Source organism: Homo sapiens, chromosome 20 (genome assembly GCF_000001405.40).
Source record: "Homo sapiens chromosome 20, GRCh38.p14 Primary Assembly".
In the NCBI taxonomy this organism is placed as follows: domain Eukaryota; kingdom Metazoa; phylum Chordata; class Mammalia; order Primates; family Hominidae; genus Homo; species Homo sapiens.
This window is the reverse complement of record NC_000020.11, coordinates 11,242,617-11,260,603: the sequence shown is the minus strand read 5'-3', so window position 1 is coordinate 11,260,603 and position 17,987 is coordinate 11,242,617. Positions and strand designations below refer to the sequence as shown.

Sequence of the window (17,987 nt, the reverse complement as noted above, 5' to 3'; positions counted from 1 at the left end):
ATGTCATTTCTAAACAAGTGCAAAATCAGTAATGTCTTTCTAAGTGCAACTGGCAGAATCACCCAAAGGTATTCTTGGACACATTGATGAATTGTTTGTCATAACAACAACAAAAAAACATGATTTGTAGAATTTGATGAATTCTCTGGTGTATACTCCCTCTATGGCCCTTGTAATCAACCAGTGTGGCAACACTGAAGGTTGAGTGGGGAAAAGATTCCCTGTTTACATACTGTTATGTAGTGTTTCCACCATGCAGATACAATTGATGTAAATAAGCTCAAGAGCATGGGTAATAGCAAAACATAGTAAAATAATTAGGAAGCAATAAGCTTTGAGGATTTACTATCTTTGTTTTTAATATAACTTATTTCATTTTAAATTTAAAAATTAAATTTTTAATAGCAATTGCATGTAACAACTGGCTTTTAAAAAAATACTGAAAATTGAATAATTGACTCTTACCAGCAGGTACAGGCTGGCTTCAGCACACTGCTTGCCCCAAACTTTGTTGATTTAATGAAGCAGACTGCAATCCCGCCCTCATGGGAATATGTAAACACTAACCATAAATGAACTAAGGACTCTTGTCCTCTTTATTTTTATTTTTAGGGTTACTGGTTCTCATTAAAACTGTTCTCCCCTGAAAACAATGCAACAAACAATAGGCAGAAATAAAAATTGTGACTGTAAGTACAGTCTATCTTATTTCTTTCATTTAGTATGGTAATTTACACACTGTACTTCATCTCCAAGTGAGATAGCAAGAAGTAGATACAATCTTTTATCTTGTGATTCAGTCTCATCAACTTGTGAAACCATAAAGGACTAGGCTAAAAGCTTTACACACATTGCTGCATTTAGTTCTCAGAACAGTTTGTTCCCATTTTATAGAAGAGAAGTTTGAGGCCTAGCAAGTTGAATTAGTTGACCCACAATTGAAGCTGTTAAAAGGCAGATCTGGAACTGAAGCCCAGGGCTAATGCATTCTCGGCCAGGGTTTAATTAAAGCTAAAAAGTGATTAAGGGTCGGGTGTGGTGGCTCACGTCTGTATTCCCAGCACTTTGGGAGGCCGAGGTGGGTGGATCATCTGAGTTAGGAGTTTGAGACTAGCCTGGCCAACATGGCGAAACCCCCATTTCCACCACTAAAAATATAAAAATTAGGAGTGGTGGGGGGGCGGACCCCTGTAATCCCAGCTACTGGGGACACTGGGGCAGGAGAATCACTTGAACCTAGGAGGCAGAGGTGGCAGTGAGCCAAGATTGCGCCACTGCACTCCAACCTGGGTGGCAGAGTGAGACTCCCTCTCAAAAAAAGAGAAAAAAAGTGATTAAAAATCTGAGTGTGAATAAGAGTCTAAACACCTCTCGTAAAGGCAGCAGAAAAAAAGCATTGTTGATATTGCTATTCATGAGAATTGAATTGAAAATCATTTTGCAGTCAAAGCTGTCATTAAAGTACAATAGCCCTATGAAGCTGTAATTTTATGTGGCTAAGGGACATGAGAGTGTATCAGTTATCTACAACAACAGTACTGTGTAACAAACGATCACAAAAACTTCAATGGATACAAAATAACTGTATATAGTCAAATATCTTGAATAAACTTCAGGCAGGTTAGATTCCAATGATTTTGCCCGTTATTGCTCCCACATGTAGAGTTTAGCAGGCTGAAGCTATAATGACTCTAGCTGGAGTGACAAGGATGACTTGGCTCTGCTTTAGGTATTTTTTATCCTCCAGCAGGTTAACTAGGGAATGCTCTCATGGTTCTTGAGGCTTGAAGTGGCTTACTATCACTTTTACCTCCTCCTATGTAGCCAAAGCAAATTGCAAGGTGGCCTATTTTCAAGGGTTGGTAAAACAGGCTTTATCTTGTTAGTGAAAAGAACTATAAAGTCACATGGTAAAGGGCATGGATATAGAGAGGGGTAAAGAATTGGCACCATTAATGTAATGATAAATCAAAGTGGGAGCAGTGAAGAACGTGGAGTGATCACCTTCAAGTAGTTATACACAGTCAACTCGATATACTCTACTCCCTGCTACTCACTTTTGAAAAGTCTATGACTAGTCTTGGGGCAGCCACATGATAACCTGAAAGAAGTTATGAACTTTGAGTCCTGGCGAAGATCAACCACTCATTAACTGAATGCAGAGGTCAATTATCCCATGCTGAGGCTTTGAACCCTACCAATCTGTAACATATATTGTAATGTCTGTTGCTCATAGTATATATTTATTCCCCACTGAAAATTGAATTGTCAATGTATGGAAGAAGGTGTAAGTAGAAGACTACATGCCTGATTTCTTTATTCTGGTCAGTGAAGCACCCTTGTTTTCCTTCTTTCCCATGTTATTCATATATTTTCTCTTTGCCCCGGCGGACTTGCTGTCCCTATTCTGTATCCAGCTCTCTGTGCATAGAATAGTTATTTATAGAACGCATCAAAAGGTTTCAATCGCAGATGTGTAGATTGTGAAGATTTTCTCCTTCTCTGTGGCTTGTCTGTTAACTCTGCCGATTATTTGTTTTGCTGTGCAGAAGCTTTTTGTTTAATTAAGTCCCATCTATTTATCTTTGTTTTTGCTGCATTTGCTTTTGGGTTCTTGGTCATGAACTCTTTGCCTAAACCAATGTCTAGAAGGGTTTTTCTGATGTTATCTTCTAGAATCTTATGGTTTCAGGCCTTAGATTTAAGTCTTTGATCCATCTTGACTTGATTTTTGTATAGGGTGAGAGATGAGGATCCAGTTTCATTCTTCTATGTGAGCTTGCCAATTATCCCAGCACCATTTGTTGAATAGCGGGTCCTTTCCCCACTTTGTGTTTTTGTTTGCTTTGTCAAAAATCAGTTGGCTGTAAGTATTTGGCTTTATTTCTTGGTTCTCTGTTCATTTCCACTGGTCTATGTGCCTATTTTCATACCAGTACCATGCTGTTTTGGTGACTATGGCCTTAAAGTATAGTTTGAAGTTAGGTAATGCGATGCCTCCAGATTTGTTCTTTTTGCTTAGTTTTGCTTTGTGGGCCCTTTTTTAGTTCCATATAAATTTTAGGATTGTTTTTGCTAGTTCTGTGAAGAATGATGGTGGTATTTTGGTGGGAATTGCCTTGAATTTGTAGATTGCTTTTGGCAGTATGGTCATTTTCACAATATTGATTCTACCTATCCATGAGCATGGGATGTGCTTCCATTTGCTTGTGTCATCTATGATTTCTTTCAGCAGTATTTTGTAGTTTTCCTTGTAGCAGTATTTCACATCCTTGGTTAGGTATATTCCTAAGTATTTTATTTTATTTTGCAGCTACTGTGAAAGAGGTTTAGTTCTTCTTGATTTGATTCTCAGCTTGGTTGCTGTTGGTGTATAGCAGAGCTCCTGATTTGTGTACATTAATTTTGTATTCTGAAGCTTTGCTGAATCTTTTACCAGTTCTAAGAACTTTTAGGATGTGTCTTTAGTGTTTTCTAGGTATAGGATTCTATCATCAGCAAACAGCAACAATTTGACTTCCTGTTTACTGGTTTGGTTGCCCTTTATTTCTTTCTCTTGTCTGATTGCTCTGGCTAAGACTTCCAGTACTATGTTGAATATAAGTGAACATGGTCATCTTTGTCTTGTTCCAGTTCTCAGGGGGAATGCTTTCAACTTTTTCCCATTCAGTATATTGTTGGCTATGGGTTGTTGTAGATGGCTTTTATTATCTTAAGGTATGTCCCTTCTATGCCAATTTTGCTGTGGGTTTTAATCACAAAGGAATGCTGGATTTCGTCAAATGCTTTTTCTGCATTTATTGAGATGATCATGTGATTTTTGTTTTTAGTGCCCACGCATGTTTATAGCAGCACAATTTGCAATTGCAAAAATATGGAGAGCCCAAATGCCCATCAATCAATGAGTGGGTAAAGAAAATGTGATATATATATATATATATATATATATATATATATATATATATACACACACACACACACACACACACACATATATATATATATATATATATACACCATGGAATACTACTCAGACATAAAAAGGAATGAAATGATGGCATTTGCAGCAACCTGGATGGAACTGGAGAGTATTATTCTAAGTGAAGTAACTCAGGAATGGAAAAACCAAACATCATATGTTCTCACTCATATGTGGGAGCTAAGCTATGAGGACACAAAGGCATAAGAATGATACATTGGACTGTGGGGACTCAGGGGAAAGGGTTGTGTGGTAAGGGATAAAAGACTACACATTGGGTTCAGTGTGCACTGCTCAGGTGATGGGTGCATCAAAATCTCAGAAATCACCACTAAAGAATTTATTCATGTAACCAACACCACCTGTTCCCCAAAAAACTATTGAAATAAAAAATATTAAAACATAAAATAAATTATTTATCTTGAAAAAAAAAAAAAGGCTTCAATGCCCACTGGCTTACAGCTGGGACTACTAAAAGGAAAGACCCAGGAGACCTATGGGGAGGAGGAGAATGAGGTCAGGGTATTTATGCCCTGGTTCTTTCCCTGTGAGGACACCTTGGCTTTCTGAGCCTCTTGACATGACAAAATGACTCAGTCTTCTCCCCTTCCAGGTCCTGGTAATCATTCACACCCTCCTTTGGGCCTATGGATGACAATGGCCTAGGTTTCTGTAGTATACCTTGTTGTTTCCTCAACACTCTACCTACATTTTTTTTTAACTAATCTCTTTGTCAGTAAGTATTCCTCAGTTTATCCTAATTTGGGAGTGCCTCCTGTTTCCTATAGGAATTCTGCCTGATAGGCTTAGATGTAGAAATCACTCAATCCCTCCTCACAAGAAATGATACATCTTATTACGGTATCTGGTTCAAAATCCAGAATATCCATGAGATAATAATATCTCTATCATGTCTGAATGCAGTTTCTCTTAGTTCAGAAATGTATGACCTATAAACACATTTTCTGCTGACTCTCCATTATATAATGGAGAAGAACACAATTAACCACAAAACAGGAATAATGGAAGACACAAATTCACCATTTGTCTACTCATTCTTTCTGGGCAGATGTTTGAGAACCTGAAGATGCAGAATTTTTCTTGATTAGATCCTGATTCTCTTTTCTGGAAGGAGACCCCTTGCCCATTGTTCTTCAGTGTCCCTGGGTCTCTTTCCAGGAAATTATTCTTTGTCTATTATATTCCTTGGTCACATGTAATGGAACTAGGGAATATGCCCTCCTTTGAGACTACCCAACTTTCTCAGCCTATTTCCTGACCATGCATGGTTGGGGGACCAAGAATTGTTTAAAACCTCAGTAGTCACAGATGTTTTTAGACAGGGTTTACTGCTTCTTTGGCAATACAATTTTCTCAAAAACTCAATAGGCTTCCAATTCACTTCTAGTAAGTTCCATATATTAATAATCACACTGAAAGTCACTTTATATGTAATCTAAAATGCCCATTTCCTCACCTTCTTAGCATGAGTATCTAGCTTTTAATTTAATGGAGGCTATTTAGAGACTTGGCTGTAGTGAAAAAGTCACATTAAAAAATACATTTTCTGTGAAAGATCTTATTGGTAAATCGGCATTAAAACCCCTTTTAAATCTCAACCTCTATGGCTTGAGAGTTTTTCCCACAGTACAAGGCCCCACATTTCTGTGCTATTTCTATTTCATTTAAGTTTTTCTATGAACCTTTAAATTCTCTCTAAAATCACCCCCTTCAAATCAGTGATTCCTTGTCAACTCTAGCCAAAGGAAAGCAACAGCAATGCTAAGGTTCTATTTTTTTGACTTATTTCCTGAGAGTTTCTGGCTCAGAACCCACAGCATCTGGTTCCAAGTAAAGTTCCTCAGATGACAATTTTACCAAATATTTTGTTCCTGCAAAACATGGATTGCCATGTTTCAGCCTGTGAGGTAAGCTTTATCACTGTCTGCTGAAAGTCACAAAGCCAAAGCTACATATTTTAGGGTTTGGATATCTAACACCCCACTCCTGGTAACAGTTCTGTCATTAGTTAGGGTAGTGCTAGATGATGTCTGGATTACAAATTAACCTTGCAAACAAAGTTGATCAAGGTGACAAACATTACTCATTCCACATGTCCAACAAAGGTGTTCTCATAATACTCCATGGTGGCATAGCAGGGGAACAGAATACATAGGTACCATAGACCAGCTTAGTAAATGACCAGAAATGATACTCATGGTCTCTACTCACTCATCATTGGAAAGAAAAATTATTTGTTGGCTGGGAAAGGTAGGGAAGTGTAGATGGCAATTCCATGAGCAGCTCCACTTCCATTACCACTTTTCCATGAGGCACATTCTCATCATTCAGACAACAAAAGGTACAGTGTAGACTCTGCCACAGCACACCATCTATGTTTTCTTTTGTTCATTTGTTTTAGTACAAATTGCTTATCTAATATTAATTAGACAATATTAAGAAATTTTACACAAGAACATTACTGATAATAAAGAGGCCAAAAAAATGTAGCAAATGTCTTTGTGAAGTGATGTCTCTCTGCAGAGTGGTGAACTGACAATTGGGGCTTATTTCTGATTTTTTTTAAACCAAGATTTACAAAGCCTGTGTTGACATTCTCCACATTATCCTCCACATTATTTTTGCTCAGTTCAGCACGGGTACCAGCCAGTCAGAACAGATGTGACCCTATCAAAATGGATGCTGGCTGTTGGCATTTGCTATGTTTATACCAGCGTGTACCACTACATCATTCTGTCTGTCTACCCCAACATCATCAGCCTTTCCCAATACACCAAACTTTAGTTTTCCAAACTTTTAACTTGCCAACCTCTCCTCACCTTTACACAAGCTGCGCACCAGCCTGCAATGCTCTTCGTCATCTGGAGAAACCCCTTTGCAAGTCAAACTATAACATGAACCCCTCTGCAAGTCTAAGTTCTAATATGACTTAACTGGGGAGGAGTCACAAATGCTTCCTCCCAACTCTTAGTTCCCCCCTCCTGTGTTTTCCGGAGTGCTGCATCTACATTTCTATGATAAAACTCATTACAATCCGCTACCATTAATATTTATAGGGTGTCACCTCCATTAGACATTGAGCTCCTCTGCAAATAATAACAACAATAATGATAACTTGTAATTATTCAGTATGTACTACATACTAGGCACTATTCTAAGTGCTTGTCGTGTATTGACATATTTAATCCTGGATAGAACTCTATTATTATCTCTATTTTGCAGATAAGGTAACTAAGCTCTAGTAAGGTAAGTTTACTTGCTTGAGGTTAACGTTTTCATCCAAACAACTAGCACAGCCCTGCAAACTCAAGGCTGTTAAGTAAATGAAAGGATTCCTGTGGCTATATATTTTTGATATCTTCTTTCCCATTTATTGTATGAAACCTCTACAGCCCACTACCATCTCTGCTTCTCTATGTAAGACTACTCTTAACACTGTGACTCACCCAGATCTTCCCACCTCAGAAACTTGTGCTACAATTTACATTCCTATTTTTCAGTTTAAGTTTCCATTACTCCTGGTTTTCATCTTTATCTGACTTTCCCAATGAAGCTCATTTAATTAAAAAAAAAAGTCTCCTGAATATTTTGAATACTGTTATCCCAGTGCTCACCAGAAACCAGGGGTTCCAAACAGTGCCTGCTAATTGAGCAATGAGTGAGGAGTAACTGGACCTTCTGCCATTTTTGTATGGGGTAACATCCAATAATAAATATTTTATCCTTGCACAGAAGAATTGTGTAGAGTCACAGTGGAGTTTTGTGCAAGCTGGAAAACACATGGTAATGGGCTTTGCACCCCCTCCCCATCTTCCTCAAAGTAATGTTGGAAGTGGGTCCCTGGGTTTCACACAAAGAGGCAGCAGATACACTCTCATAATACAGATCACTGCTTGATATGCTGCTGCAGGAAGATTCCAGAAAACCTGATAATCATTGAATTTCAGAAGGGAATGCTGAGTGTGGATATTTTAGTCAAGCTTAAGTTCAATCTGAAAAATAAAAGCAAACAATTCTAATAACAGAAAATACAGGTGTATATTGTCCTTGACATTAAAAAATTCTGAATATAACTTAGTCCTAGAATTATGGTACGATGTTCCATGGTGTTGGGAACTCAATGTTTTTCTGTTGTGTCATTCTGCTGCATGTAGATATCATTGGTGAGGTATGTCATGGTTGAAGATGGCTATGCGGAGTGGGAGCGCCTGCTTTTCCTATCACATTCCAACTAGAAAAGGAGAAGATAAGTCAAAATACACTTTCAGTGATGGGCATATATTTCTTCCAATTACATCTATTGGCAGAAGTTAATTATATAGTCACTTAATCACAGGGAATGCTAGAAAATATAGTCTTTATTTAGGAAGCCATTTGCCTAGCTGAATTGGAAATTATATTACTAAGGAAGGTGAAAACAGATATAGAGGAAAACTTGTGGGGTTTTGATTCAGCAGGTAAAGATCTCTTTTTGTTCAAAGCTAACAGTGTCATTTGCCATCTGAAAGATATAGATTTGTCTCATACAAACATGATCAAAATGAAACAGAAACTATATCCTAGGTCTCCTCCTAAGTTTTGTCATTGAATCTACTCTTAGTATTATGTTGATCTTTGCTTTACTTCATAGCAAGATACATTTGAAAATATGATATTTAAGTCAACAACTACAAAAATCAATTTTCAAAGTAGTCCATGGTCACCAAGTTTCCAAGGAAATAAACTGAACCCTCGATCAGTTTAACACTAGGTTTTTAACCATCATAGGAAGGCATTCTGCTACACATTATTATATATGCACTAATGCATTGTTGGAATGCATTATACACTTTCAAATGATTTGGATTTTTTCTTTGATTTTTTTTAAAGTGGGATCAGTAAATGTATATGCTCTCGTGAGTTCCACATTGAGAGTGGTGCTATTATGCTGAACCGTGAGGATTACTATCTAGTTTCCATATGTTACGTCCTCAATCTGTGTTTTTAATAATGTTTCCAATGCAAATTTCCCTATCTTTTCGAAGCAAAAATTAGCACTTAAATACCCCTACATATGCCCGCTTGAATGCCTGTAGGAGCAACATATCCAGTCACAGATAGACCCCAGTCATTGACTTACAAGGGACATGTGCAAAAATTTTATCAATCACCTCTCCATCATAGTAGGGCAGATGGTTTTCACCACCATTCTCCCAGTGGCCCTTGAAGCAGCTCCGGGGGTGGACCCCCGGAAGAGGGGTGGCAAATACATCCTTACAATGGAAGTTGATCAGCTGGTCTCCTCCCAGGGCATCAGGAAGACTTAGACTACACCAACACTATCCTGGAGGTATGAGAATCCATCACAGATATGAATTTCAGAAGATTTCACAAGCACGTTTATCAAACTCCTATCTTTGCAGAAACTCTTCCTTGTTTCTGCAAATGGCACTATGCTAAATGGCTAAAATGCATTATGGTAAATTATTATGAAAATCTTGGAAGGCATTGTTATCCATCTTGAAGAAATGATATCACAGAAAAACTAAGAAAATTTCCTAAATAATAAGGAATGGAGCAAAGATTTGAAAGCATGTGCTCTTTATTCTGTTTGACCCTATGCTATATATCTTAAGGATTCTTACATACAGAAAATGCAAGACAAGAAACCATTTGACTTTATAACTAAAGCAATTATATAACTGTGTTCTTTTCTGTAATAACAATTCTCCATTTTCCTTTGCATACAAACCAATCATTACATGTTAAATTATTGTTGTTCACCTTCTTTCATGGGACCTGCTAGCCATTTATTATCAGTTTATGTAAACAGTACTTCTTAGGCCCATAATATGTACTATATAGTGTTTGTGTTTTTTTTTTAAAGTTATGTCAATGGAAAGAAATATGTAGACCTGACAATTATAGTAAGAATAGAATGTTGGTATATTTGAAAAAGGGAAGAGACATACATAGCAATACATTAATAATGATCAGATTGATGAACTAGAGACGGTGAGGACTAAAATACAGTTTTCTAATTTCCACACGTTCTAGGATGAGCATGTATTTAAATTAATAATTAGAGAAAATAAAAGGCATTATTTTAAAAGAAGCGGACGTAGACACAAATTTGTTACAGACATTTAAGGATTACAGGCTCTAAGAAACTTTTATAGTTCCACAGCATCATCAAAAAAGAGAGTAGGATGGAATCTCAGCCATTTCTTAGGCAAAGTAGGCCCTTTGCCATCAGCATCATAATTTTGCTGACCATGTATGACTTCTAGTAAATTCAAGGTCTTGTGCATCCCATTAGACAGTGTGTAAGGGAGAGCAGGGAAGTCCAAAAAGCTAGGATTTCAGTGTGTACCTAAAAGGTCAACTAACCAGAAAAACAGGAAGAAAGCAGATTAAATGAGGATAACCCACTTCATTATTAGAGAATTAGGGAGAATGAATCCTGGATCCCAGAATCAGAGTCAGGGGAGGCAGAGGTCTGAGAATTACAGATGATCCTTTTAAAAGATTCTAGTAAAAGAAGTGATTTTATGAGCCAAAGCATATCAAAATGGAACAAGTTGAGAGCCATGGATAACAGAAACTGAGATGCAGTAGAGTGCACCCGTATGTGAATCTTTCTGCGAGCTCATTCAGCAAGATCATGTTCTTTCCTGGACCTTTGCATGAGAAAGGGTTAGTTCACAGACTTGCTGTGTGACTTTGGACAAACCACTTCCCCTTCTGTGTTTCTTCCCTTAGAAGAAATGAAGTGATCAGTCAGATCCATCTATCCATAAGATCTTTTCCAAACATATTATGCCATAAGCCCATTGTTTTATACCAAAAGCTTCTTTTGTCACACATCACATGGAGGATTGCCTTCCAAGACAGGAAATTCACTCTTCCCTAGAGAAAATCCCTATGTAACATCACTCATTCTGACCAAGCTAAATCCTCTCTGTGTTCAATTTAAAAACATAAACACCATTAACCAAAATTAGCTGTTTGAGCACATACCTTCAGACTGCTACATTTCTGAAGGAAATTGAATTGCTAAATTTCTGTAACTTCCCCAACCATCAGCCACATCTCAACAGCGTACTCAGTGACAGCTCTGTCTAGCAACAGTGGCCGAATGTTTCCGACAGAAGGTGGCTGGATTCTGCATTGTAAAATAGAGTATCTGAGAATTCAGTGGGTGGAGGGGCCGCATGTTCCCAGGACAATGCTTTCCAGCTTTTCTCAGTGGTTTGCATAGTGAAAGGAAACCTCTAGCATTTCATAGGATAAAATGGGAACATAATTATAGTGACTAAAATAGCATAAGGCTGAGCTGACGATTTGGAAGATGGTCCCCTTTCAGAGTGAAAGGAAGGTAAAAGACACTAGCTAGAAAGGGTATAGAGGCAGTTTCCTTGAAAGACCTGAAAATGAGCAGCAGGGAAGAGAAAGGGATAAGGGCTGTACACAATAGCATATTCTTCTCTAAACCACCTAATTCTCCTGCTCTGTATTCATCACTGTCAGCCTCTGCAGAGCCCTCAATGAGGGCTTTATGTTGAGCCTCATTATCGGCTCAAAGATAGAGGGCACGCCATGCAAATGAAGCCAAGCCCACAGATAGGCTGTTAAAATACTGCAATTTGTCAGCATTTAGATAAACAAATGAAGGGCATACTGTGTGTGGGAGTTGGACCCCTGGGAGCTTTCAGCGTATTTTGACACTTGTTGTGGGAAATATCTTAAAGATCCCTGCACCGGATCCCTCCTTATCTTTTAAAGGGAGGATAAAGAGTTGCTAATTTACTTATGGCTAAGGTAGTTGGGAGACTGGAGGAATCTCTGCTTTCATCCATTGGTACTTGGGTGGTTGATTAATGCCCTTCTCATTAGGCTCAGTCTTCCTTGTTGTCTGCTGCTTACAAGCCTCTTAGGAAGAGGAAACTTTTAAGCCTCTAGGAGTGGTTTGTAGGAGAAAACTCACACATGCACACACACACCCCCCTAATAAACCTTTTAGTAAAGAGAATCTTAGCGCCAACCATAAGAATGTGGAATGATTCTTCTCACTTCAAGAAGATGGTGAAATAAAGATTTTTTAAAACTCTCTCTTACAGCGAGCATTGCTTTGATTCTCCCAGTAATTGCTTTGATTCTCCCAGTAACTTTGCATTGTTGTTTAAAGAAAAATGAAATTATCCTTGTTAATTGTCCTGAGCTTACAGGCTTTGCCTTTTCTGTCAGCTGGAAGGGAACACACACTAAAGAAAGAGAGAAGGGGCTGACAAAGCCGCCTTTGGTGATCTAGTCTATTCTCCAGTTTCTTAAAGGACTTTTAATGATGCTCTGGTGACAGCACCTTAGAAATCAAATGGAATGAATTGTAGCACAATTTCAAAAGCAAGATTATGTGACAATGGGGTCTGCATCCCCTCCCCTAGCATGCCTGGCCACAGGGCTGCCTGCCTAAGCTTATCCACAGCTGTTGCCCAGCCAAGAGCTGTGGAGACGCAGCCCTACCCTGCCCCACCCGGGAGCCAAACCTTGGTGGCATGAGCTCTTCATCAATCTCCATTTCTCCCACCAAACAAGAGTCACTAAAACCTCATTTGTGCCTCTCGGCCACTCGGGGATCTGCTCAAACTTTTCTGTTCTTTGGAGGAGAATGATGTGGACTTAATTAAGTGTGGTAACTTATGTGTAAGGCTGTATTGATGGAGGAAATGGGGTGCAGATGTGGTGTGAAATGATGGCGAATTACTCTTGTGAAGAACACAAATCAGGGTGAGTGCCCATTATCTCAGGCCAAAAGAAGTTATTGGGCACTCAATTATCGGCTTCTTTGTCACCGTAGCACACCAGATGGTTACAACACTGAAGAGTTTTCTATTATCATAACATTTTCCTAGAGTGTCTTTTCTTCTTCTCCAATTCACCATAAGATGATTACCTTCTTACGGGCAGCTGATTGTTGAGAAGGGTGCTGGGGGGTCATGCACAGATTTAGTGGGGAGTGGCAGATAAAGAGACAACAGGCTGTGTCTTTAGCACGAGAGTCTGTTGATGGACTCTGCTGGGATTCCGGCCACCCCATAATAGCTCATGTGAAATGACTGCTTGGTCCCCTCTCCCTCTGAATCTGCCACTCCCCCTCTGCCCCCAAATCTAGAAGACACAGTGTTCAAATGTGACCGGCTGCTCTACCTTCTGTCAAAGCATTTCCAGCCAAGTGAGCAGTTTTCTTTTAAGGAACTGAGTGGCCCTCAATAAAATTAATTCCCACTCATTGGCAGCATTGAGGCGCCAGGTGAGGACAAAAGTAAATGAGCTTGTGAATATAGGGCTAGTCATTAACTCAGGGCACCCAACTCTATCATCTGCCCCTCCCTCCCTGGCTCCAGAGAAGGGAGAAAAACAACAGCTTCATGGTAAATAAATAAATGAAACCACACCATGAAAACCTCTGAAACAGCAAGCCCTGACTGGATGCTTACCGAACTTGGGATGACTGGAATGACCCTGGGCCCTGAAGAATCTTCTTTATAAGAGAAAAGACAAAATGAGGACATGTCAAAATCACAATTTAATGCTTTGCTCATTGCTGGATTACTGTTTGGAAAAAACGACTTTCCACAGAAGTCAAGGTGATGCTTCTAAACATGGATTCCAGATTGGCCGACTCTAGAACTCATAAGAAGATGGGAGGATTCTTTCCCCACCCAGCCCCACTACCTGAGCCTATGCCCTAGGTTCTCATTGTCTCTCTTTTAATGCCTCTTCTCTCAATAGAGTTGTAATATGGGATAGCTCAGATTCTACGCATGAAGAGTAAAAGACCCTCTTGACCTTTTTCTGTAGTGAACTGTTGTCTCTGAAGTTAACTGTTGTTATGGTTGCATCTGTTTGCTAAACATAATGATGGTACTACAAGGAGTATTGCCTTTGTGACTTTCTTGCTTAAGACAAAAGCATAGCCCTGGTGGTGTCTGCTGGAAACCCGATCATGTGGTTTTCAAGGCTGGCACCCACATCCTACTTTGGGGTTAGCCAAATAAAACTATATTTTGGTTTGGTATTGCTAGTGCTGAGGAAATGGCGGGTATGATCTCTGGTTCAGAGTTTATGTTTACTTAAACTGCGGCTACCATGAGACACACGTCCATTTTCCATGAGTGAACAAAAGCCTCCCCTTCCTGCCCCCTCCCCTACTGCTTCCAAAGGGAACATTTTGCCCCTCTCATTTTTGTAGGTGTTTTCTTATTTAAAGCTACAGACTCCATAACGATGTGGGCTCATCCAAAGAAAAATCAAAATGATGCCAATTATAGCCTAGAAAGTCAACCCTGAACAAACACCCAAGGCTGCTTATTATCTACAGACACATAAAGCCACGAACATGCATTGAATAGATCCAATTTCAACCTTGTCTTTTCTTTAATAAGTGAAACAAGCTGTACCAGTAAGTAAATAATCAAGTGGTGATAATATCTGGTTTTCTAAGCATGCAGCAGAAAGATCCATTTTTCTTTAATAACAATAACCACAAAAGAGCTCATCAGAAACCCCCAAACCTGATTTTGGCTGCAACTAGAAAAGAATGTATGTACATGACCTCAGACCCAGTTACCACATGTTTATAGCCAAATGCTTCTTTTACTTAATTCCAAAGAGGAATCTAAATATCTTTCAAATATATTTTCATGTGACATACACAATCAAACCATATAATTTATCAAACAATGAGAGAAGTTAGTTCAAAAAAGACAAAATTAAAGAGAAGATAAGATTGTACTGCTCACTAATGCCAGATAAATTCTTGAGATTGAAGCTTGAGATGCATGCCATTCTTCTCTCTATTGTACCTATAATCTCTATTGTACATAAAGGCAACAGATTTTCAAAACTCTCAATGAGAGAAAAATGTTCTGTACCACTGGACAAGCTCATGACTTCCACTTCCAACAAGTGGTTATTGTCTTGAAGGTCATCCCTAAAAGTTATTTCCTAACTTTAGTAATGGGTAGAACAAGAGAATTGTTTGCTGCTGACACATGTTCAGAGTAGAGTCCCAGGAATACAAAGTGTGACAAAGACATGATGTAGCCATAGGCCATTAAAGAGCTTCATTAGTGGCTATATGCTAAAAAGACCTCAAAAACTACTGTGAAGCCAACTAAGAATTCTCAAATACACTCCTTATGGCTTAAACTTTGGGCTGTTTATCATTTGAGGGAAAAAAAGTCATAAATATCTCTATTGTCGGTGATAGATTTTGGTAGCACAGACAAATCAATGAAGGAAATACGGTGTGGTGAAGACTGTGGCACCCTGGGGACACATACCTTAGTAAAATGTGCAACACACGCATAGACAATTCTTGTCATCAGGCCAATGTTTTAAAAGAGATTGAGAATCTGGAATTTTATATAATTTTTTTTAACTTTTAGACATTGGCAACTAAAAACAATGCTTTAGAAATATTGCATATGTTAAATAAAAATGACCTTGGACAGTGCAATTTTTATCTGAGCCAGTCCCTCTCATCCCAGTCACCCCAGCAGGTCAAAAGCAAAAACATGAAATGAAGAGGCATTCACAAAGACCAGTGCTAGAGCTTGGATGAGTCTGTATCCTGCAGAACTGGGAAAACCTTTCAAGATGTGTTGTTCTGAAGAAAGATTGCATTCTGAGTTTAGTCCTAGTACAAGGGTTCACTATATTTCTACATTTAAAAAATGTCTTCTGTTTACTGACATGTCCCTATGTATTACATTGGGCTGCTCTCAATTTGTTCCAAATAAGAACATCAGGGCAGTTATTTATCTAACCCTGAAAAAACAGTATGTATACAGTGACTTTATATTTTGAAGCAGAAATCTCTGCACATAGTCCACCAGAGGTTTCTTGTATCACTTCTGAATGTAAGAAATACCCTGAGAGAACTCATTTGGATGCCAATAGTGTAAGGATTTTGGAGTGGATTTATAGGAAGGGCAGAGAGGTTATTTGAAATCCAGGATCGGAGTGGCTGTATGTGTACAGCTCACAGGAAGTTTATGCAGTTAGTTACTAAGATTTTGTAGAGACCACTTTTCACATTTGCCTTTGGTAAATGCTTTTCATCTTCCAGTTTTTAGATATTAGGACCAATTTTCTCAGTAAAATTCAGTGTCCTTCCCCTTTCCACTCCTATCAACAAAACTGTGTTTCCTGTTTTGAATCTCTAGTGATTGTTATCAGGGGAAAAGAAACTTTTAGAGAGAATGTATTTAATCCACCAGGCTGATAGACAATTATCTGTTCCTCATAAAGTAGAGGAGGAAAAGAATTGGGCAACATCCCTCTTCACTTCCTGTGACTTCTGATGGATCCTCCATTCCGTTCTCAGCTTGAGTCTACTGACTGCAGTTCCAGAACATCTTCACATTTGAGGATCAGAGGCATTAAATCCAGGCCACAACCACTGCCTTGGTTTTTATTCTCTTCTAGGGACCCAGAGATACACAGACCCTAAATCTGCCTATAATTTTGACAAGAAGTTTAAACGTAAACACTACTTTGCCATTCCCGCTATTCCTTCACTCAACAACTATGAGTGATGTGCCTGCTACACAGTAAACATAGAATACTGGGAAAACTAGATATGGCTTCTGTCTTTATGAAACTGGCAGCCTATGAGAAGAGCAGACATTAATAAATAATTAATGAGACATTAAAAAGCAAAAAAATAATAAATACTATCACAAATAAAAATAAAACAGTGTTTGAGTTAACTACTCAAAGAAGAGGTGCTGTGGGATTTGATTTGGTCAGGTAAGTAAGGGACATTTAATTCAGAACGTAGGCATTAAGGTGAAATCTGAGGAACAAACTAAGAGTTAACTAGGTATAGGGGAGAAAACCTAGGAAGGATGGAACACCAGACCACGTGGAAGACCCTGTATTGGAAAGGAGTACTAAGAAAAAGGAAATAAAGATTGGTATGGCTGGCCGGGCATGGTGGCTCACGCCTGTAATCCCAGCACTTTGGGAGGCTGAGGCGGGTGGATCATGAGGTCAGGAGATCGAGACCATCCTGACTAACACGGTGAAACCCCGTCGCTACTAAAAATACAAAAAAAAATTAGCCAGCCATGGTGGCGGACGCCTGTAGTCCCAGCTACTCGGGAGGCTGAGGTAGGAGAATGGCGTGAACTCGGGAGGCGGAGGTTGCAGTGAGCTGAGATTGTGCCACTGCACTCCAGCCTGGGTGACAGAGCAAGACTCTGTCTCAAAAAAAAGAAAAAAAAATTGGTATGGCTAACATGGGGGAAGAGAGAGTTCACTGTACACTACAAAGCCTGAGGAGTGGGCAGAGACCTGGCGGAGAAGGCCTCTGTGGGGTCTAAATGTGTGCTGTTTATCCAGAATGCAGTGAGAGGTCATGCATGTATTTGAAGCTGGTGGTAACGAGTCTACTTTGAGTTTCCCCAAGGGAGTAGATTGGGGGAAGGTAGGAGCTAAAATAGGTGAGGTTAGACCCATTTGGTGTGTTGCAGTTTTCCATAAAAATAAAGTGATAGCTTAGGTTAGAGTAGTGGTTATACTTTTGGAGAGAAGTGAACAAAATGGAGATTTATTAATAAATAAACTTGGAGTTGGTTTGGAGAAGGGATAAAGAAGAGAGAGGATTCAATTGTGATTTGCATTACAGGATAAATGTGAGCATCATAACCTGGAATGTAAAGACTAGAGGAAGTTCAGGTTATGAGCTTGTAAGTTTGGTTTTGGACTAGTTAGATTTGGATTGTCTTTGAGACTTTTAATAAAAGTTAACACGTGGGTAAATGTCTAAAAGTTGAAAGATATGGGCTGGAGATAAGACTCTAGCTCATAATAAGTGGGTAATTGAAAGGAAGCGTGTAGCTAAGACCTCCTGAAAAGAGATTATTGATTGAAAGAAGAGAGCTAGACCTGTGACTTGGAAAAGCCAACATCCAGTGAGTGGGTAGAAGAGATGCCAGTA

The 17,987-nt window shown here is 39.0% G+C and overlaps 1 annotated feature.

The window, feature by feature from the left end:
- Window positions 11,396-11,942: an enhancer, noted in NCBI's record as "NANOG hESC enhancer chr20:11229310-11229856 (GRCh37/hg19 assembly coordinates)". NCBI's record gives its function as "activates a minimal SCP1, AML or CMV promoter by ChIP-STARR-seq in naive H9 embryonic stem cells {active_cell/tissue: H9 hESC(naive)}" and the evidence as "EXISTENCE:reporter gene assay evidence [ECO:0000049][PMID:30033119]".